Raw genomic sequence first — 21,027 nt, 5'->3', positions numbered from 1 at the left:
GGCAGCATAGGCTCTACAAAAAATAAGAAAAAATAGCTAGGCATGGTGATGTGCACCTGTAGTCCCAGCTACTCAGGAGGCTGAGGTGTGAGGATCGCTTGAGCCCAGGAGTTTGAGGTTATAATGAGTTATGACTGTGCCACTGCACTCCAGTCTGGGTGACAGAGCGAGACCCTGCCTCAGGAAAAAAAAAAAAAAGCTTAGTACTAAAGCAATATGTAATTATTATAATGATAGTTACTGTTTGTTAAGCACTCATGTGCCAAAAACTTTATGTGCATTTTCTCATTTTAATTGTCATGGTCCTATGCAATGGGTGCTATTATTTTCCCATTTTTATAGGCAGGAGAATTGAGGGCAGGTTAAGTAAATTGGTTGCATAGCTAGTTGTTGGCAGATCCAGGCTTGGAGTACAGGAAGTGCTACCCAGAGGGTGTGCTCTTCTTCACCATGCTGTACACCCTTTTCATTGTAGAAAATGGGAGAAAATAGAGAAACAGCAAGAAGAAAGAGACTGCTCACGAGTCTTCTGGGAAGGTGGGTTTCAAGGTATCGAAGGGTATGGGAGACACAGGAGGGTGAAGAGGAAGAACTGGACTCCAGTGGAAGGAGCAGCTGTGCAGACACAGGGGTGGGAATGCAGTTCCCTGTGAGCAGGGGCCCCACAGTTCTAGAGTGTTGTGTGAGCTCAGCCTGGAAGGGAGTGTAGATGGGCTCTAGACCTAGAAATGTTCTAGAATGAAGAGTTTGGATGGGTAATAGGAAGAGGAAGCCATGGAGTATTCTTGAAGAGTGGGGCGACTTAGTGGAGAGTGAGCCTCAGTCGCCCCCCACAAAGGCCTCCTTCCCCCCCCTCCCAGCTCTCTGAACCTGAGCCATGAACAAGAGGGACAGATGGGCCACCTCTGCCTCACCTGGGTCTCCCACAGGTTGCCTGAAATGCCACCTTCCCATCACAGCTTCTCAGTTTCTCCCTCCCCAGAAAAAATTGGTTGTTGCCTCCCCAGTGCCCTCTTTTTTTTCCTTTGTAACACTTTTTTAAAATCATGGTACAATATACATAATATTTATCATTTCAGCTATTTGTAAGTGCACAATTTAGTGGCATTAAATACATTCACGATGTTGTGTAACCATCATCACTATCTATACCCAAAATGTTTTCAACATCCCCAATATAAACTCTGTACCCATTGAGCAATAGCTCCTCATCCCCCTCCCTGCAGCTCCTGGCTACTTCTCTTCTGGTTCTAAAACTTTGCCTGTTCTCAGTACATCACAGACATGGAATCATACAGGATTTGCCCTTCTGTGACTGGCTTATTTCACTTAACATAGCACTTTTGAGGTCCATCCACGTTGCGGCACATATCAAAATGTCATTTTTTTTTAATGGCTGGATAATATTCCACTGTTTGGATAGACCACATTTTGTTGATCCATTCAGCTGTTGATGGACAGTAGGTTACCTCCACCTCTCAGTGCCCTTTTAGCAGTTGCTTGAGCCTCTGTCAGAGCCCCCACAATGCTCCTCATAGCTCTTTGCCTTCTCCACCAGAGAAGGCAATGCCTTTTCCACCAGATTGGACAGAGGCTCAGGCAGGAGTCGTTCTTGTTTCCCCAGCACAAGTGGGGTTAGCAGGCTGGCAAGTGTGGTTTCTTTCTGGTGGCAGACACTGTCCGAAGGCTGAAAAAAGGGGCGCCGCCCATTTCTTGCTGTCTGATTTCAGGGCTTGGGGCTCTATGGGTCTGTGCTGGGCTCCAGCTTCATGGATTTTGTAGACTCAGAACTTTCCAGCTGACTTCTGTTTTACTTGACCTGTGGTTGGCCTGGACTTGTGGTCCAGAAACATGAAGGCAGTTATTTAGGGTTTAGTGCTGGCTTGCAGGATAAATAAAATCTACTGGGAGGTGTTCAGTGGGGGGGGCTGGGGTACCTCTCTGTGTGGGTAGTCACAGAGCCCTAAAGAAGGCCCCTGTTTCCTGGGAGGCAGGGAAAGCTTGAGGAGGGAGTCAAGGGAGAAGGGGATCCAAGAGGAAGCATGGTCCTTTCAGTGGGTAGAGACGGGCATGAGTTGGTGCCAGGCTGGACTCAGGGATGCAGTGATGACTTGTACATGGTAGGTTTTGACCAACTCAATTTTTGGTTAGGATGGGCCAGGACTCACCACCTCCTAGTTAGACCCTTCCCTTAAGCCGTGACCCAGGTTTGTATTTGTAATTTTTAGCCAGGCATCAGTGGATCTTGAGGAGCTCAAAGAAGTAACGATGGGGTTCCTCAAGCTCTTTGCAGTGTGTGCCCTAAGGCAAAATGTGATCACTTCAATGTAGTCTTTGATTTGGGGCTGGAATCCTATAGTTTGGAATCAGTTTGGTGGTGCAACACTGGCTCTCTGATGCTAATGAGAAACCCTGGCTCACAGTTGATTAATCAGCTCTTGAGTAATGCAAATATGGCAAGATACATTATTAACCAATATAATAGCTCAGATCTTTCAAATGTTGGGTTTGGGGTGGGGTGGGAAAAGTATCAAAAGGCATCTTTTTGGTGACATGGCCGGGAATTACTGTCTTGTGCGTTTGGGCCTGTTCCTGCCCCACCTCCTCCATCCCATGCTGTAGGGCAAGGAGCCCTGGGCTCCTCACTGCCGCAGTCTGTCTGGCTTTGGCCCCAGTGTTTATGTGGAGCATCTTGGAGAAGCCTTATCTTTGTCTCAGAGGAGGTCTGAGTGTCTCCTGCTCTTGCAGGAGCTTTGGAGTAGAGAGAGGGGGATAAAGGGAAGGTAAGGAACTGATAACCCCATACCCAAGTCTTAATCTCTGGCTCTTTTTCCCTCAGTCTTCTCGGGTCCAGCCACATGCTGACCTTTATCTGGCCATTTGTTGGAGCTGATGAGTGGCCTGTCACGAGTGGACCCTCACATGGATCCTGCATACGAGAGTGGACTACAGCCCGGCAGAGAGGGGTCAGGCTTCTCACATCAGAATTGTGCCTGACCAGAGCCTGTTGAGGTGGATGCTCATCTGAAAGGAAGTGCTTTCCATGTAGGAAAAATGGACAGCATGAAAATAGGTCAGGCACAGTGGCTCACGCCTGTAATCCCAGCACTTTGGGAGGCTAAGGAGGGTGGGTCGCGAGGTCAGGAGTTCGAGACCATCCCGGCCAACAGGGCGAAACCCTGTCTCTACTAATAATACAAAAATTAGCCGGGTGTGATGGCAGGCGCCTGTAGTCCTAGCTACTTGGGAGGCTGAGGCGGGAGAATTGCTTGAACCCGGGACCGCACCATTGCACTCCAGCCTGGGTGACAGAGTGAGACTCTGTCTCAAAATAATAATAATAATAGTAATAATAACAATAATACTGTACATCATTTAATAATAATACTGTACATGCCCCCACATACCACCCCAGCCCAGGAGCACCCCAAAGGCAGCTCTGCTGGCTCTTCCAGTTGGAAGTTAGGTTCCTTGGCATTGAGTCCTCTCTTTTCCTCCAGTGATCCTGGGTACTGATTATCTGTGGGGCTCTGGACAAGTTACCTAACCTCTCTGTGTCTATTTCCTCATCTGTAAAGTGTTGGGGGATATTATGAAGATTGGGGGTGATTGTATGGAGCATGTAGTGCAGGTATTGTGATTATGATCATCACCCAAACCATTGCAAGTGATAGAGGGGTAGGTGGACATGTCCTGTCCTGCCGCATTGCTTGGATGCTGAGGACAATTTGCTGTCCTAGAAGTTCTCACAAGTTGGTTTTGGCTGGGGGGTTGCTGGCTCCCGCTTCATCCTGGCTTCAGTGGGAGGTTGCAGGCTGGGCCTGGGAGCCTGCAGGTCACCTCCCTGCTTGTCTCTGACTTAGCGGGGCCTGCCCTCAGTTCCACTGCCTGTCTTCTCTGTGGGGGACAGAGCTCCCCTTTGCATCTTGCCTCAGTGCACTCAGGATTTGGCAGGCAGCTTAGCCTGCCGCCTGAGAGCTTTACTCCTGAAGTCTCTCCTTTCTTTGGTTTATAGACTGAAAATGGGGTAGTGACTTCATACACTGGAAGAAGAATGGCTACAGCCTCTTTCTCTGAATGCATTTCCCAAGAGTTGGCTTTAAATGTAGAGTTCTTCATTAGATTAACTTGGCATGAATATTAACATGAATTAGAACTTACTACCCTTAAATTCTTGATCTATAACAGAGCAAGATTTGAAGAAATAAACCCCTGGATACAGTGCCTTACCTTTTTCATGAATTCTTAACTGGAATAGATCTCTGCTTAATCTAATCTTTTTTTTTTTTTGAGATGGAGTCTCACTCTGTCGCCTAGACTGGAGTGCAATGGTGCTATCTCGGCTCACTGCAACCTCCACCTCCCGGGTTCAAGAGATTCTTGTGCCTCAGCCTCCTGAGTACCTGGGACCACAGGCACCCGCCACCACGCCCAGCTAATTTTTGGATTTTTAGTAGAGACGGGGTTTCGCCATGTTGGCCAGGCTGGTCTTGAACTCCTGACCTCAGGTGATTCGCCCACCTCAGCCTCCCAAAGTGCTGGGATTACAGGTGTGAGCCACTGCGCTCAGCCTGTTTAATCTAATCTTAACTTTAACATTGAACCTCTGAGCATCAAAAGTCCTTCCTAGAACATACATACAGTATCGTTACTTTGGGACTTCAGGTTATCTTGGCATTAGAAGTTCGTGGAGGCAGCAGAGGTTGTTGTACGTAAATGAAGCATTAATGTTCATATTCACAAAGACTCTTCAGCATTCCCTGATGTATCTGCAACTCGGTTCTGCTCCACTGAAACCCAAACCCCATCCCTCCTTTTTTTCCAGTTCTAGGCTGTCCTACCTCTCATCAATAGTGGCTTTTCTAAAATTGTGATAAAAACACATAAAGCTTACTGTCTTAACTCTTTTTAAGTGTCCAGTTTAGTAGTGTTAAATATGTTCACATTCATGTTAAACAGATCTCCAGAACTTTGTCATTTTGCAAAACTGAAAGTCTATTCCCTTCTCCCCACAGCCTCAGGTAGGTACCATTCTATTTTCTGTGTCTATGAATTTGACTACTTTAGATACCTCATATGAATGGAATCACATGGCATTTGTCTTTTTGTGCCTGCCTTATTTCACTTAACATCATGTCCTCAAGGTTCATCTGTGCTATAGCATGCGCCAGGACTTCTTTACATTTTAAGGCTGGATAGTATGCCATTATATGTATACCCCACATTTTGGTTATCCATTCATCTGTGATGGACAGCTGGGTTACTGCTACCTCTTAGATATTGTGAATAGTGCTGCTATGAACATGGGTATACAAGTACCTCTTTGAGACCCTGCTTTCAATTCTTTTGGATATACACCCAGAGTGGAATGACTGGATCATATGGCAGTTCTATTTTTAATTTTTTGAGTAAGTGTCATACTGCTTTCCATAGCAGCTGTACCATTTCACATTCCCACCATCAGTGCATAAGGATTCCAATTTCTCCACATCCTTGCCAACACTTGTTATTTTCTCTTTTTTTTTAACAGTAGCCATCCTAATGAGGTGATATGTCATCATGGTTTTGATTTGCATTTCTCTGATGACTAGTTTGCGCATCTTAGTTGTGTTGAGCACAACATGATTAGTTATGTTGGTTATTTGCGTATCATCTTTGGAGAAATTTCTATTCAAGTCTTTTGCCTACTATTTAATTGGGTTGTTTGATTTTTTTTGTTGTTAAGTTGCAGCAGTTCTTTGTATATTCTAGATAGTAACCCCTTATCAGAGATATGATTTGCAAATATTTTATTCCATTCCATAAGTTGCCTTTCCATTCTTTTGACTGTGTCCTTTGACAAACATGGTTTTAAGTTTGATGTAGTCTCATTTGTCTATTTTGCTTTTGTTTTCTATGCTTTCGGTGTCATATCCAAGAAAGTACTGCCAAGTCCAATGTCATGAAGCTTTCCCCTTATGTTTTCTTTTAGGTGTTTTAGTTTTAGGTCTTACATTTAGGTCTTTGATCCATTTTGAATTAATTTTTGTATATGGTATCAGATAAGGGTCCAACTTCATTCTTTTGCATGGGGATATTCAGTTTTCCCAGCATCATTTGTTGAAGAGACTGTCTTTTCCTCATTAAATGATCTTGACACCCTTGTCCACATATACTTGCAAGAGTTTGTTTTTGGGCTGTCTATTCTATTCCATTGGTCTATTTGTCTGTCTTTATGCCAGTACCACATTCTTTTGATTACTGTAGCTTTGTAGTAAGTTTTGAAATCGGGAGGTATGAGTCTTCCAACTTTGTTTTTTTTTAAGAAGAGAGATCTGGTTTGGCAGTATTTGTTGTGAAAGGGCCGATGACTTCAAGCTAAGGTTAAGTCAAGAGTATGTTAAGAGGCCAGGCATGGTGTCTCATGCCTGTAATCCCAGCACTTTGGGAGGCCCACGTGGGAGGATTGCTTGAGTCCAGGAGTTAGAGACCAGCCAAGGACCAGAGATCAGTGAGACCCTTACTCTATAAAAACAAAAAAATTCGCTGGGTGTGGTGGTACACACCTGTAGTCCCAACTACTGGGAGGCTGGAGGGCTGAAGCAGGAGGATTGCTTGAGCCCAGGAGTTTGGGGATGCAGTGAACCATGAGCATGCCACTGCATTTCAACCTGCATGACTTAGTGAGACCCTGTCTAGTACAATACAATACAATACAGTACAATACAATACAGTACGATACAATACGATACGATACGATACGATACGATACAATACAGTACAATACAATACAGTACAATACAATACGATACGATACGATACGATACAATACGATACAATGCAATGCAATACAATACAATGCAATACAGTGCATTAAGGTGGCTAAAAGAGTATAGTCTCAGTTTGAATTAATAGAGGCAATGTGTCCTCTCCAGGGGAGGGCAGTCCTGTTCTAGTCTGTGCTGATTCAAGCATATCCAGAGAACAGTGTTCAGAACCAGGATCTGTTTTATCGCGTGTGCTTGTGTGGAGGTCTCTGAACATGCTTGGAGGAGGGTGGCTAACACTGGGAGCCATCTGGAAACCATTTCATATGGGATAGAGTCAAGGGGCCTGGGGCTGTTTGGTGCGATGAAAAGAAAATGTAGAGGAACCCTGAGAGTAATTTTCAAATCTATGTGAAGGGCTGTCATGAGGACAAGGAAGCAGATTTGTTCTAGAAGCTGGGTCCAGGGGTGGAAGTGGATGTTGTTCTGCACGAGGCAGGCTTCCTAGACACGAGCTGGCTGCTGAAGGGTGGGCTGCTGTGCTTGTCACCTCATTCCTGGAAGAGTTCAGGGAGGGGCTGAATCCGCATCTGCCAGAACTGCGTGCTGGAGCTGTCGTCGGGAGCCAGGGTCTGATAGCCTCGGGGTGCTTTTACATGCAGAGCCTCCGACAAGGGAGCCGTGGAGGACTTGCGAGTAGGGAAGAAGCCGACCCAAGCGGTGTTTCGGATGGTTAATCTGCTCACAGACACACGCAACTGGCAGCTGGTGGGTGCCTGGAAGTCCCCTAGCCTGAGCCTCAGTGTTGGAAGCCATCCCCTCTAGCAAAGTGGTTCCAGTGAGCTGTGTAACAAAATATTTACCAGACCCCAGATTCTGGCCCACATTTCAGAGTCAAATTTGGAACAATAAAAATCGACAAATCGCTTTGGAAGTGATGTCTGATTTGTAAAGAGACACAGGAGGTTTATCCCTGGGCAAAACCAGAGGTGCCGAGGAGCCCGTTCTCCCCTGGGCTGCCCCCACCCAGCCATCGCCCGCTGAGCAATGACTCATTTCCCCCTTTGAAGTCCACGTAGTTGTCTTTGGGGCCCTGGTGTTTGTACCCCTCTGCTCCTTCAACAAAGGCCCTTCTGTCGGCCGATCGCGGAGGCCAAGCAGGGAAGGGTTAGAAAGGAAGGTATCGACTGAATACCAATAAGGAGGGGAAGTGTGTTTATGGAGAATGAGGGGCTCCAGGCAACTTGGGGGCCCACTCGTGCTGTGCAAACACAGCGGAGAATTCCCTTTGGCGGGTTTGTTTTACTAAAGGCTCTGGGGCCCAAGGAGGGCGGTGGGAGGGGAACAGGAGAGAGGGAGGAAATATTTCACAATTCGAAGTTGAAGCTTAGCCCCTTGTTGGGGAGGGGCCGGCCTGAGAGCTGCAGGGTAACAAAGAGGCAGTGTGGGCTGGTGACAGTTAGGGGAAAACACATGGCAACTAATGGGGTAGTAATGGGTAGGGAGGTAACCTGGGAAAAGCTGGTACGAGGAACGCTGGCACATAAATTCTGGTGGCGAGACACCCGCCTTGGCAGGGAGACAGGGGCCACTCTTTCACCCTCCCCATGGTCAGAGCCAGAGATGTTCCCACTCCCAGGAACATGGTCAGGGTGAGGGATGGCGGGAAGAGGAAAAGCCATGCTGGGGTTTCATCACCCTGCAAGGCCCCTGGAAAGACAGAGAGGAAGAGGGGAGCTTCAGGCTAAGTGCCAGAAATCAGCACAAAGCAGAGGCTTCTGTTGCTGCTGCCTACCCCATTCATAGTGAGGGGCGATGGGCACCTTGCTGAGACCCCGTGGTTGGACCCCCAAGGACACCCACCTTGTGAGAGGCTTTGCCGATTTCGGGAGTCCCCAGCTGTTCAGCTGGAGCCAAGGGCCCAGTGCCCTGTGTGCACACTGACATGCAGTGCCCTTGTAGGGGACCCAAAGATAGGGTTTTCCTATTCATCCAGGCCCCCGGAACTCTGCACGCCATTTCTAGGAGAATCCTTTGGACATGTCAGCTCTCAGAGGGGACAGTATTTATTACCTGGGGGTTTTTGGAGGAAGCCATTTAGCAGTTTGGATTTGGACGTTTACAGCTTCCATGAGGTTCCCCAAACAACCAGTGGTGTCCCAGAGTTCAGGATAGTGTGCTTGTTGACAGGGGTTTTGGTACCCTGTCTGTCACAGAGCAACTATTTCTTGATCAAGTTGATAATACTCTTCTCTTAGAAACCAAAACAAAAAAGCAAAGCCACTTTTTATGTATTTCCCTATCTTTGTGTGTGTGACCAGCTCTCCTCTCCACAGTGCTTAGGAAACATTTAGGAAAGAAGAGAATGGGGATGCTCCGTTTGAGGGGAGCACACTGAGAGCCTCTTTCTCCTCCAAGGCTACTGGCCCTGGGATTGTGAATCCTTAATGTGATTCCTGGTTGATGTTTGCAAAGTAGCAGCTAGTCTTAGACTCCTGAGTACTTCCAGTTTCCCATGGTGAGTGTCCCTCCTGAAGGTAACTGAATTCTCGAGATGGCCCCCAGCCTGCTGCCTGGCTGAGAGGCGGCCCTCCTTTCCAGCCTCACTCCCGCTGACTTGGCCGTGGGGACCCTGGGCTCTGCTTCCCTCTCCGGATGCATGGATGCATTCATTCACCCGACCAACTCATTACAAGCCTGCTGCCTGCAGTCATTTGTCTGGCACAGGGAATATCAGGATGGATTAGATATGGTCTTGGGCTTAGGCAGAGTGTTGACTGGTGGTGCTGCGGGTTGCTGATTCTCAAGAGGGTGATGTAAGCTGTGAGAATTTGATGGCTGGTTGGCAGCCTGGCTTTTTCCCTCCTGGTTCCCATCCATGAAATGAAAAAACACTGGAATGTAAAAGGAAACAAATAGTGAAACATTGTATTTCACAGGCACAGATGCACACATATCAATTATACTGTTATGCTGTTCCAGCATAATCGCCTTCCTCATCTTCCTCTGTCTCAGACATATTCAAATTTGGTCACCACACCTGGGTGTCTGAATGTCTTGTCCTTCTAAAGGTAACTAGAAAAAAAAAAAAACAGTTTCCTACAAATCACAACTGCGTTTATAGGAAACAAAGGACAGGAAATAATTTTGAGCAGATCCTTACGGGAAACTTGTGTAAGCAAGGCCTGGAACTCATGTATTGATGATTTTTAATAGCATCTTTCCCAGCCAGCTGGACATGGCATGAGACTTCAGTCATCCCGAAGGGAAGGCCGTGGACAACTGGTCATTTGAACATTGACCACAGACCGTGGTGACCGTCCCCGGCCTCCCTGCAAGAGTGCATCCCTCGCTGATAAGCGCCATCTGTTGATAGTGGAGGTGAATGCAGGTGTCAGCTGTACATTGCGGAAGGCACAGGTGACCCGGAGGCCCGTAAGTGGGGAGGCCACTGTGCAGCTTCCATCTGGACTTCGCATGTAATATTCTCTGGTGCTACCCAAATATAATTGGCCACTGGTGTACTTGGTAGATTGGTTCCGCAATCAGCCCTTCGGAACCCGCGTATGTAAAATGCCAGCCCTCGGTATATGCAGGTTTCATAACCTGCAAACACTGTATTTCCCATCTGCCTCTGGCTGAAAAAAATCCAATATAAGTGGACCCAGGCAGTTCAAACCCATGTTGTTCAAGGATCAACTGTAATCTTAATCGGGAATCAGGCACAACAGGGAAGTTGAGTTTAGACTCTGGAATCCAATAGCTCTGCTACTCACCGGCTCGGGGACCTGGCAAGTTGCTTAATCTTGTTTAGACTCAGTTTTCTTATGTGGAAACAGGGCATAGCAAGAACCAATCTAAATTGTTGAGCACAGATTAAATGAGATGATGCTGTTAATGGGGCCCAACATGTGGTAAACCATCAAGAAACATTAAGCAACCAGCCTGGGCAACATGACAAAACCCCGTCTCTACAGAAAATACAAAAATTAGCTGGGGATGGTGGGGCACACCTGTAATCCCAGCTACTTTGGAGGCTGAGGTGGGAGGATCACTTGAGCCTGGGCAGGTTGAGGCTGCAGTGAGCCGAGATTATGTCCCTGAACTCCAGCCTGGGCATAGAGTGAGACCTTGTCTAAAAGAAAGAAAGAAGGAAAGAAGGAGAGAAAGAAAGAGAGACAGAGAGAAAGAAAGGAAGGAAGGAAGGAAAAGAAACATTAAGCTTGTATTTTTCTTGATAGTTAAGTCAGAGTCCCTCTAACAGTAGAAAATATGGGGAACAAAATAAAACAATTACATTTCCAGCATCTTAATCCTCATCCTGTATTTAGAATATGTTAGAGCAAAATTTTCCAGATGTGGTTTTCTGATTATTTGTAGATATTTTTCCCCCCAAACAAAGAGAATCAGGCAACCAAATGTGGCTGAGATTCTGGAATTTTGGTCTGGATATCAAGCATGTGGAATTCATTCTAGCAAGAGAGGAGTGTGCCTCGAAGATGTCTCTCTCCAAAGTGCTTCAGTTAATAGCTAATCTTTCCAGACTATATAAAGGATTTCCTTTATTATTTAGGAAGAGGAAAACATTATTTTTAAAGAAATAAAATAAAATAAAAATGGTTGTTTTTAATGCTGATAAAAGGATTGTGGTCAAATCTGCAAACAGCTTCCTTTTTCTTTTATTTGACCTCACTGCAGGCCTGCTTGGTGTGAAGTCCAGGTTGGAGGGATGCTTGCTGGTTTTTCCAGCTCATTTAACTCCAAGAGCATCGGTCTTTGTTGAGGGTGAGACCTTGACAGTTATCCGTTTTGACTCTAACAGGGAGGACTTGTCCCTGTTCAATCTGTTCTGATCTCCTGTCTCCATTGTTAATATCAGCTCACATCCAGAAGGGACCTAGGTTGAGAGGTGTTCCTGGTGACCCGGCCACTGCCCCCAGGCATGTCTCATCATGCCACAAGGACACAGTGTTGCCTCCTACACACCGACAGTATGCCTTCAAATCTTGCAAGCTCTGTAATTAGGAGCTTCGTTAAACGTGGAAGGATCACTCATTTCTGCCCATTTCCTGGCTTTCAGGGAGGACCCAGTCATGCTCATCAGTACTCTATAAAACGCCGGGCAGAGATGGTTTGTTTTTTATTTTCGTGTAAGGAGATGGGTTGTTTGTTTGTTGTGGGGGCAGGAGCCTGAAGCTTTTTGTTGTGTTTTACTTTGTTTTGTTTTTTGATGGGGGATTTCTAAAAGTAAGGATACAAAAAGATTACTATGACACAATTTACAAAATTATAATAGCATATGGACACATTGTTGGTGACCTACTCACACTGTAGAAGAGGCCAATGCAAGTGAGTGGCCTTGAAATATAAGTTTCCTTAACTTCATGGTAAAGCCACTTAAAAAAATAACTTTATTTTTAAAGAACAGTTTTAGGTTCACAGCAACACCAAACGGAAGGTACGGAGATTCCCCAAACACCCCCTGCCCTCCCACGGGTACAGCCTCCCCCAGCAGAGTGGTGCACCTATTACAGTGGATGAGGGGACAAGGTGACACAGCATCACCCAAGGCCAGAGTTGACACAAGCGTTCACTCTTGGTACTGTACATTCTATAAGGACTTATAGTGACTTTAGAATATGGTTTTATGAGTGTGTTGCCATTCTTTATTTATCACCAATGCCAAATGCAGATGCTGACATCTCAAGTTAGTCAGCCCGAGGGCCCCATCCTAATGTTAAATTCCATCATCACCCCAAGGACCCCGGAATGCAGGAGCCCACCCAGGGGTCCCAGGTGCCTTTCCAACCACCACCCCTTCCTTATCCCTCCCCAGGGCACAGTGTGTCAGCTCCTGGGCATTTTTCTATGGAGCAGGTAAAATAGAATGATCTCCTCCTATGCCCAAGAGAAGTGGTTTTAACAGGGGACCCACTCCCCGACCTGGTCTCTGTCATTGTCCTTTTCGGAAACGGGACCATCCGTGGCTGTTTACATCCCCTTCTGCAGCCCCTCCTCCACTTGACTGAGCAGCCCCGCTGGGGAGAGACCCAAGTACAGCATCCAGTCAGAGTGCCCTGAGGGCTGGGGAGCGCCTGAGCTGTGGGTACTCACTGCAGCCCCCTGGGGTTACCTCTCCAGGCCTCAGGCGGCCCAGCGGGAAGCTGCTTCCACCCCGGCTTCCTCACTATTGCTCGGCCTCCAGTTCCCAGGACGCTGAGCTTGCCCCACTTCCCCTTGTGATTCCAGGTTTTTGTGGATTTCTGCTTGTTGCTTTCTACCTCCCAAAGGAATACTGTTCTGTTGCCCTGGCTCTTCAAGTCTGTGTTCTCTTGAAGGGGCCTCCATTCTAGGGAGGAGGGTAGAACTGCATGTCCCTTCCCTCCTCTTTCAGTGCGACGCTGATGGAGTTGCGCAGTGAGTGGACACCGAGCCTAAGTATTTTAGAACCATGTTAAATGGCCGAACTGTTATGGACAGATGAAGACGCAGGCACGTGGTCAGGCGATGGGGAAGGGAGCATGCACCACTGGCTCCCCAGCCTGCTTGGCTGTGCCTGCTGGGTCCCGTTCGTGAAGCCCGTGCCTTCGACTCTGCAGGCACGGGGCTTTCCCCAGGCTGGGCCCGTAGGCCTCTGGCTTTTCCTACGTCAGATATTTACTTTTTCATTTGTAACACACTCAACAAATATTTCTGTTTCTGCCTCATTCTGGTCTCTGGGGGTATCATGGTGAGAAAAAAGGCTGTGGTCTCTGCTTTTCAGAGCTGGTGGGTCCTGTTGGGGATGTGAGTCAATGTGAGCTGCAGGAGAGGAGACCCCTCATTTGGTGACTTGCCCAGGTTGCACAGTGAGTGGGTTAGTAGCTGGGAGGGAGGTTCATCCAAGGGCCTGCCTGATGGCAAAGCCCGCGTCCTCATCTCTCCTCTAGAACCACGTGATCAAACTGTAATGCTGGCCCCAAAAAATCAAAGGGGAAGAGAATGTCACTTCCACAGGCAAAAGGTGACAATGGAAGTCCCCCAAACGGAAGTCTGAACACCTTGAATCAGCTCTGGGGGAATGAAATCCAGACTTGGGCCTGGCGTGGAGGGATGCCTGCTGAGGGAGAGGAGAGCCAGGGATGGGCTCAGAGAGAATTTTGTCCTATGAAGAGGCGCTCACAGCACCCAGGTGGGAGAGATCTGCAGCTCGGGCTTAGGGTGGGCAGGTGGGCTCTGAGGCCCCCACCCTCAGGCTTGAATGGAGACTCGGCCGGCATAAGTGGTCTGCTCCTACCCAGGGGCGCAGAGAGAACAGGCCGCCCTTTCCCAAACTGTGTGTGCTTTTCCCAGGGGCCATTGTTCCTGGTTGCCAGGAAACCGCGGCCTTCAGGTGTCACCCGGGAGACTGGGGCCTGGGTATTTGGGTTTAGGTCAGGCACAATAACGCCTGTAGAATGAGATGGCGTCCCCAAGACCTCCTCAGTCATTTGTCACGCAACTGTGGCTGTGACTGTGGGGACACAAAGGCTGTGGGAGGAGGTGGGTGGCACAGGATGGGGTGAGCTAATGATCTCCCACCCAGAGCAGAGCAAACACACCTCTTTGGGGAGAGGAAGTGAGGCCGCCCCAGCCTCTTGAGATGGCAGAAGACCTGCAAGGAATCTGACCGAGGTTCAGGGCTGCCCGCTGGGAGGTGGGGGCTCACCAGCCCTCAGGCCTGATAGCGCCCTAGGAAACACACAGCACCTTTAGTGGGGTGTCTGCTAGATAGCCCAGCAGCACAGTCATAGCAAAGAAACAATCCAAATCCAATAGCAAGGGTATACGGCTGTCCAGAAATGATGGCAAATCAGAGTGACCCAGGGGACAAGACGGTGAGCCAGGGGATACAGGACCTGGGGGTGGTGCTGGAGTGAGTTTTTAGCAGGCCTATGAAACATCCAGATCCTTCCCTCCCCAAACCCTTCAGCACAGCTTCTCATGAATGTGATTCCAAGCAAATAGAAGGAGATGGATGATATGTCATTATATGTAATCTACTTGCAAAATAGTCCTCGTTTCACTTTTATTTTATTAAAAAAATTTAAATTGTGGTGAAATACACATAACATAAAATTTACCATCATAATGATTTTTCAGTGTACTGTTCAGTAATGTTAAGTTCGCATCGTTGTGGACCCGATCTCCAGAACATTTTGACTTCATAAAACTGAAACTCTATTGCCATTAAATGACAACTCCCATTGCCCCACCTGCCAGTCCCTGGCAGCCACCATTCTACTTTCTGTCTCTATAAATTTGACAGCTCCAGGTACCTCATAGAAGTGGAATCATCCAGTGTTTGTCTTAAAAAGAAATTCTTTAAAAAATATTAGAGATGGGGTCTCCCTATGTTGCCCAGGCTGGTTTCACACTCCTGGGCTCAAGCCATCTTCCCACCTTGGCCTCCCAAAGGCTGGGATTATAGGTGTGAGCCACCGCGCCTGGCCCAGTGTGTATCTTTTTATGACTGGCTTATTTCACTTAGCGTAATGTCCTCAAGGCTCATCCCTGTTGTAGCATGTGTCAGGATTTCCTTTTTTTTTAAGCTGAATAATATTCCATTGTCTGTACACATTTTGTTCATCCATTCAACTGTGGATGGACGCTGGGGTGGCTCCCACTCTCTGGCTCTTGTGATAAAGCTGCCATGAGCATGCAACTTCCCAATTTCCAGGCTCACCTGAATTTACTTTATGACTGGGGGACGTTAGCTGGTGACTGTTTTCATCTAAACCTCAGGAGGGCCTGCCTTGGACGTGGGGCCGCCAGTGATCCATTTCATGCCCTCCAAAGATGTTCATCTTTGGCTGTTCCCTTCTGCCTGACAATGTAGGCTGTAGCTGTGCTCCCTCTTGTGAAGAAGGCCTCCATCCAGGCAGGGAAGGGGATGGGTTAGGAGCCAGGAGTGCTGGCCCCACCGGCCCTGGAGATTGAGGCAGGTCTACAAGGTATAATATCTCAGAGGCACAGGAAACTCCAGCGTCCTGGCACATGTGCAGGGCGCCTAGTAGTAACTGGACCCTCCAAAGGTGGGGGAATACACAATGAAAAATGGGGGTGGCTGACCCCTGGAAATGCTGGGGCCCTTGGCATTTTAGATTCTGTCAGAGTTTAGGGACAGGGCCCAGGGCTCAGAAGAGGGTGGTGGCAATGGGCTGATGACTGGGTTGGCAACCTGGGATGGGAGCCAAGGTGGCAATCAGCTGGACAACTTGGGTACCAGGTCTTGGCCATTGGACTGTGGACAGGCACCTGTTGCATGGGGGCAGTTCTGAAGGTGGTTTGAGGCTCAGGGAACCAAGAGGACTCTCAGACATCGGAGCTGGGAAGGGTCACCGTGGGAAAGAATGAGTGCTGCAATCCTAAAATCTGTCACCTGGTGGGGAGGGGAGAGACTGAGATTGAAGGGGAACCTCAAGTTGGCTTTGTCTGGGACCCTGGGTTACCTGAGCCTGCAGAGGGGCCAGACTGAAGCCTGCAGGGGCCAGGGTCTGGGAAGACAAAGGAGGAGGCTGTGGCTGGCAGAGGGGCACCTCAGTTTGCAGTGCCTAGAACCTGAACCTTGAAGGCAGGGTTCTGCAGGAGTTTGGACACCCCAGGGGTCCAGGGCAGTGAGCCTGGGGCATGCAGCCACAGGGCTTCAATGGGGCATCGTCCCGGAGCTTCATTTCTACTTTAAACATTTGGGGGATGGACAGTTAGCTGATTAAAAACAGTTCTACATATTTCACTTATACAGCTGTTAAAGGAGTGGACTTGGGGGCCGGGCTGGGTTCCAAGCCCAGCTCTGCCACATGGGCACGTTGCCTAACCTCTTTCTGCTTTAGTGTTCTCATTGGCAGCATGCGGATACTTAGTCCCCACGCATAGGCTGGGTTTAGCAAATGCAGTGATACACACAAAGAGCTCCGCACGGTGCCTGAAACTTGGCATGTCTCAGTTTATGTTTGTGGCTGTTATTATCATGACTACCGGAAAACAAATGGGGCATTAAGTAGTAAAATGCAGAATTGGCTAGAACATTTAAGATAAAACAAGAGACCTTCAGGAAGTTCTGTGCTTGGGGCAGCTGGGCTCCGGTCCTCTGCCTTTAAGGTGGTGGAGCCATTTGGGAAACCTCACAGCCTCCAGAGGGTGGAACTCACATCTGCTGTTCACAGGGGTCTCTAGGGCCTGGCTGGTAGCGGGGTGTCAATACGTGCTTGTGAATGCGGTGAGTGTGTTGTTGGCCATACCCAGCATGGCTGGCAGAGGCATGGGCCTGTGTGCCTGTAGTACTCCTGGTCACTCCCCACCCTTGGTCCAGGGCTGGGTGGGCGCAGCCTGAAGAAAGGCCTTATTTGTGGCTTCACATCCACCAGAGGCTGTCAGCGCCCAGGCGAATTTGTTTGAATTAGCTGCTTCAATGGGCCTGTTTTTGATGACAGTGTGTGTGGTGAGAGATGCCGGCAGAATTTTAAAGGGCATTAGAGGCGTCCCATGGGCCCTGGATGGACAGCTGTGCAGGAAGGGGAAGGCTGTTTCTGGCCTGTGTGGCTCTTTAGGGCAGAAGGAAGTGCCCTCCTTTGGTGCCGACTGACAGGGAAGGGCGGGATCACACTGTCCACAATGCCCTTGCTCGGCCTGCTCCATGCTGTCGGTCTCACCTGGCAGGGTGTGCTTGGGCCCCACAGGCTCTGTTCTATGTCCTGGCCACCACAGTTTCATGACCAAGATTGAGAATGTCCATGTGGCCGAGGTCCTGCCCACTCAGGGAACCGTGGACTCTTTAGGGGTCCAGATCACAGAGCATGTTCCCTGAGAAAATCTAGGGAAGAAGAAAGGAGGACAGACATGTTCGCAGACATTCAGACCATGGACCGAATGGCAACCCCCTCCCCCATCAAAAACAATAGCGGTGCTGGTGTGGTGTTTTTATGCGCCTCGTGATGTTCTAAATGCTTAACACATATTAGCTCATTTAATCCTCCCAGTAGCCCTACGAAGTATAAGTGCAGCTATCCTTATTTTACAGATGGGGAAACTGAGGCACAGAGAGGTTAAGTAACTTGCTCAGTATCACACACTTAGAAAGAAGAAGAGCCAGGACTTGAACCTAGGCAGTCAGGCTCCAGAGTCCAGCCCCTGGCAATCACCATTCTACTTTCTGTTTCCGTGAATTTGACCGTGCTGGGTACCTTGGATAAGTGAGATCATACAATATTTGTCCTTTTGCGACTGGCTTATTTCACGAGGCATAATGTCATCAAGTTTCATCCACATTGTGGCATATGTCAGAATGTCCTTCCTTTTTAAGGCTGAATAATATTCCACATTAAATACCACGTTTGTTATCCATTTATCCGTGGATGAACACTGAGGCTGCTTCCACCTTTTGGCTGTTGTGAATAATACTTCCATGAATGAAGGCGTACAAGTATCTGTTTGAGTCCCTGTACATTCCTCTTCGGTATGTACCCAGAAGTGGAATTGCTGGATCATGTGGTGATTCTATGTTTAATTTTTGAGAAATCACCATACCAGCTAGACTTTTTAATACCAGTAAATCCCTGTATCTGAGCACATGCTTGATTTAGGATTTAGAAATTTTGTTCATCAGCCCACTCAGGGTGCTGTCCCAAACCTCCCCTTTCCCTGAACTTGGCTCCTGTTCCTGGCGGCGGAGAGGCTGCCCTGCCAGAAGAGGTCGTTTCCTTCTGTTTTCCCTCTTCTCTTTGCCTTCACCCACTTTGAGATCTAGGAGCAATGCCAGGGCCTGAGAACCGGGTGAGTAGTTGTGGGTTTTGTGGAGAGGGACCGCCTTGTTCTTGAGAGAGCGTCTGGCTGGGGGCAGGAAGGGGGCTGAGTGTGTGTTGGCTGTGAAGGCTCCATCAGCAGCAAACGTGGGTGGGGTTGGGGGAACAGGGCTGTGTCCACATTGTTTTCACTCCATGCCCGGTACCCGATGGTGAGGTGCTCAGGACCTGTGGGCAGGATGAGGGAGTGAAGACAGCAGAGCTGGGGCTGTGGAGTACTAGTCGAGGATGCCCGCTTGGAAGGCTGGTGAGATGGGCCACGGGTCCTCCCAGGGCAGGGGAGGGAAGGTATGGCGGAGCAGCATGGAAATGACCCTCTCTCCCCTGGTTCAGGCCATTCTGCAGTTTCGATTCCTCATCTTAGAATAAGGAGTTGCGCTAGATGCTCTAGCTGCAACAGTCCACGTCTAGTAACAGTGAACATTTGTGGGTCCTAACTGAGATCAGGCACTGTGATGGGTACTTTACATGGGTTACTGAACTTAATCCTCACAACACACTATGAGGAACTTATATTAGCTTCTTTTTTTTTTTTTTTTGAGACACAGTCCTGCTGTCAGTGGCATGACCTCAGCTCACTGCAACCTCTGCCCCAGAGGTTCAAGTGATTCTCTTGCCTCAGCCTCCCAAGTAGCTGGGATTACAGGCACACATCACCACACCCGACTAATTTTTGTATTTTTAGTAGAGACGGGGTTTCGCTATGTTGCTCAGGCTGGTCTCGAACTCCTGACCTCACGTGATCCGCCCACCTAGGTCTCCCAAAGTGTTGGGATAACAGACGTGAGCCACCGCACCCGGCCATATTAGCTTCTTTAACGTAAGTGAAAACTGAGGCACAGGGAGGTTGTGCAATTTCCCCAGGGACACAGAGCAGGAAGCAGAGAAGCTGGGACTGAATGGATTCAGTCCGAGCCTCACTTTGGATTTGCTCCTCTACCACACTGCACTTTACAAAATAAAATAGCTAACTTTTCTTTCCTAAGATTTTTTTTTGTCTTAGTTTTCCAGGGCAGATATTTAAGGAACACGGAAGGAATGGGGCTTATTGCTTGTTCTGCGGCCGGAAGGCTGGAGGGCCTGAACATCATTGAGTATGATCCTAAGTGAGATCTTTTCTCCCTCCGGCAGGATCTGGTGGAGGCCGGAATTCATCACAGCAAACACATCCTCTCCTTTCCTCTTCATCTTGCTCTTGCACAAACAAGAAACCTCAGTCACGATTCCAGCTGGGCATCCTCTGTCTCTTAGCAACCACTGCCAGCCCAGGCTTTGGGTTCTGGGCTCCAGGCATGCCTTTCTTTGCTGCAATACTTTCTGTGGATCCTGCACACACAATGCAGGTTGTGGGCATCAGGGCAGGAGGGGCCTGTTAAACTCCTGCTCCCAGAGCCCGAGGGAGGTGGGGAAGACCCATTCTGGGAAGTTAACTTTGTGGGAGTGAGCTGGTGGGGTGTCTCCTGGTGGACGTTCACAGCTCTTTGCTGAAGAGGAGTGGGATTTGGGGAGAGTGTGAGCATGCACACGTGCGCTTCTAGCCACGGTGGGGGCATCGTGCCAGGAGACAGATGAACACTCCTGCTTGTCCTGCTGGGCCCATCTTTATGATTACCCACATTTGTTCAAAAGGTTTGTGTCTCAAATGTGATGAAGAGCCCCCTGGGACTCCCTGGCTCAGGCTTGCAGGGAAGGGGAGGGACAGGGCCCTGGGACTGTAGAGTTCTGGTGAGAGGAAGCAGCGTGGATGGAGGAGGGGAGAAGAGGGCCAGGGCTGAGGCCAGCCTCACTTACAAGAGGCAGAGGGGCCGAGGAAGGGCGGGAAGAAGGCGTCAATGCAAGGCCCGAGAGCAGGGGGCTCGGTGGTGCATTTGTTCCCTGACCCTGCATGGTGGGTTCCCAGGGGCTTCTTGGAGGCCAGTGTGGGAGCTGGGTCTGTTCTGAGTGGCTGCTTGTCAATTCATGAAAAAGCTTTGCCTCTGGGTTTTCTACCTCTCCTCCCCAAAGAATCATTGCTTTAATCATATATGAACTGGAAAGAACCTGAGAGAGGTTCTAATTCACATCCTGTCTTTGCAGATGAGGACAGTGAGGCCCGAAGAGGTGGCAGGAGTTCCCTGGAGTCATAGCTGGGTGGGAGCAGAGCTGGGAGCCGCCCCAAGGCTGCTGGTTTCTCCGCTGTGCTTTCTTACTTTGCTGGAGTCCTCCCTGCACACTGGTTGGTGCTGAAGCCACCATGTGACTACGCATGATCCCTGAAGCTCTAGTGAGTGTTTCTTCGTAGAGTGGAACTTGCACACATAGAGGTGAGGTCTTGGAGGCTGTTTGGCTCATCTCTGTGCCCAGAGGACGTGGTTCCTGATGAGGTCCTTGCTAGTCAGGCTGCTTCTGCACATCTTGAGTGACCCGGCACTGTTCAGGAGAGATCCTGAGTTCATTTCCTAAGGAGGGAGTGAGCTGTGTCT

The 21,027-nt window shown here is 48.8% G+C and overlaps 1 protein-coding gene across 1 annotated transcript in view, besides 3 other annotated features; it reads left to right on the top strand.

Moving 5' to 3' along the window:
• SLIT1 (slit guidance ligand 1) overlaps positions 1–21,027 on the top strand; it is a 187,922-nt gene that overhangs the window by 37,472 nt on the left and 129,423 nt on the right. The gene's annotated exons all lie outside the window — the stretch shown is intronic.
• Positions 6,903–7,643: an enhancer, noted in NCBI's record as "H3K4me1 hESC enhancer chr10:98900602-98901342 (GRCh37/hg19 assembly coordinates)". NCBI's record gives its function as "activates a minimal SCP1, AML or CMV promoter by ChIP-STARR-seq in naive H9 embryonic stem cells {active_cell/tissue: H9 hESC(naive)}" and the evidence as "EXISTENCE:reporter gene assay evidence [ECO:0000049][PMID:30033119]".
• Positions 17,211–17,711: an enhancer, noted in NCBI's record as "H3K4me1 hESC enhancer chr10:98890534-98891034 (GRCh37/hg19 assembly coordinates)". NCBI's record gives its function as "activates a minimal SCP1, AML or CMV promoter by ChIP-STARR-seq in naive H9 embryonic stem cells {active_cell/tissue: H9 hESC(naive)}" and the evidence as "EXISTENCE:reporter gene assay evidence [ECO:0000049][PMID:30033119]".
• Positions 20,670–20,870: a silencer, noted in NCBI's record as "peak1061 fragment used in MPRA reporter construct". NCBI's record gives its function as "represses an SCP1 promoter by STARR-seq MPRAs in K562 erythroleukemia cells {active_cell/tissue: K562}" and the evidence as "EXISTENCE:reporter gene assay evidence [ECO:0000049][PMID:32103011]".

This window comes from Homo sapiens, chromosome 10 (genome assembly GCF_000001405.40).
Source record: "Homo sapiens chromosome 10, GRCh38.p14 Primary Assembly".
In the NCBI taxonomy this organism is placed as follows: domain Eukaryota; kingdom Metazoa; phylum Chordata; class Mammalia; order Primates; family Hominidae; genus Homo; species Homo sapiens.
This window is presented reverse-complemented; position numbering and strand designations above follow the sequence as displayed.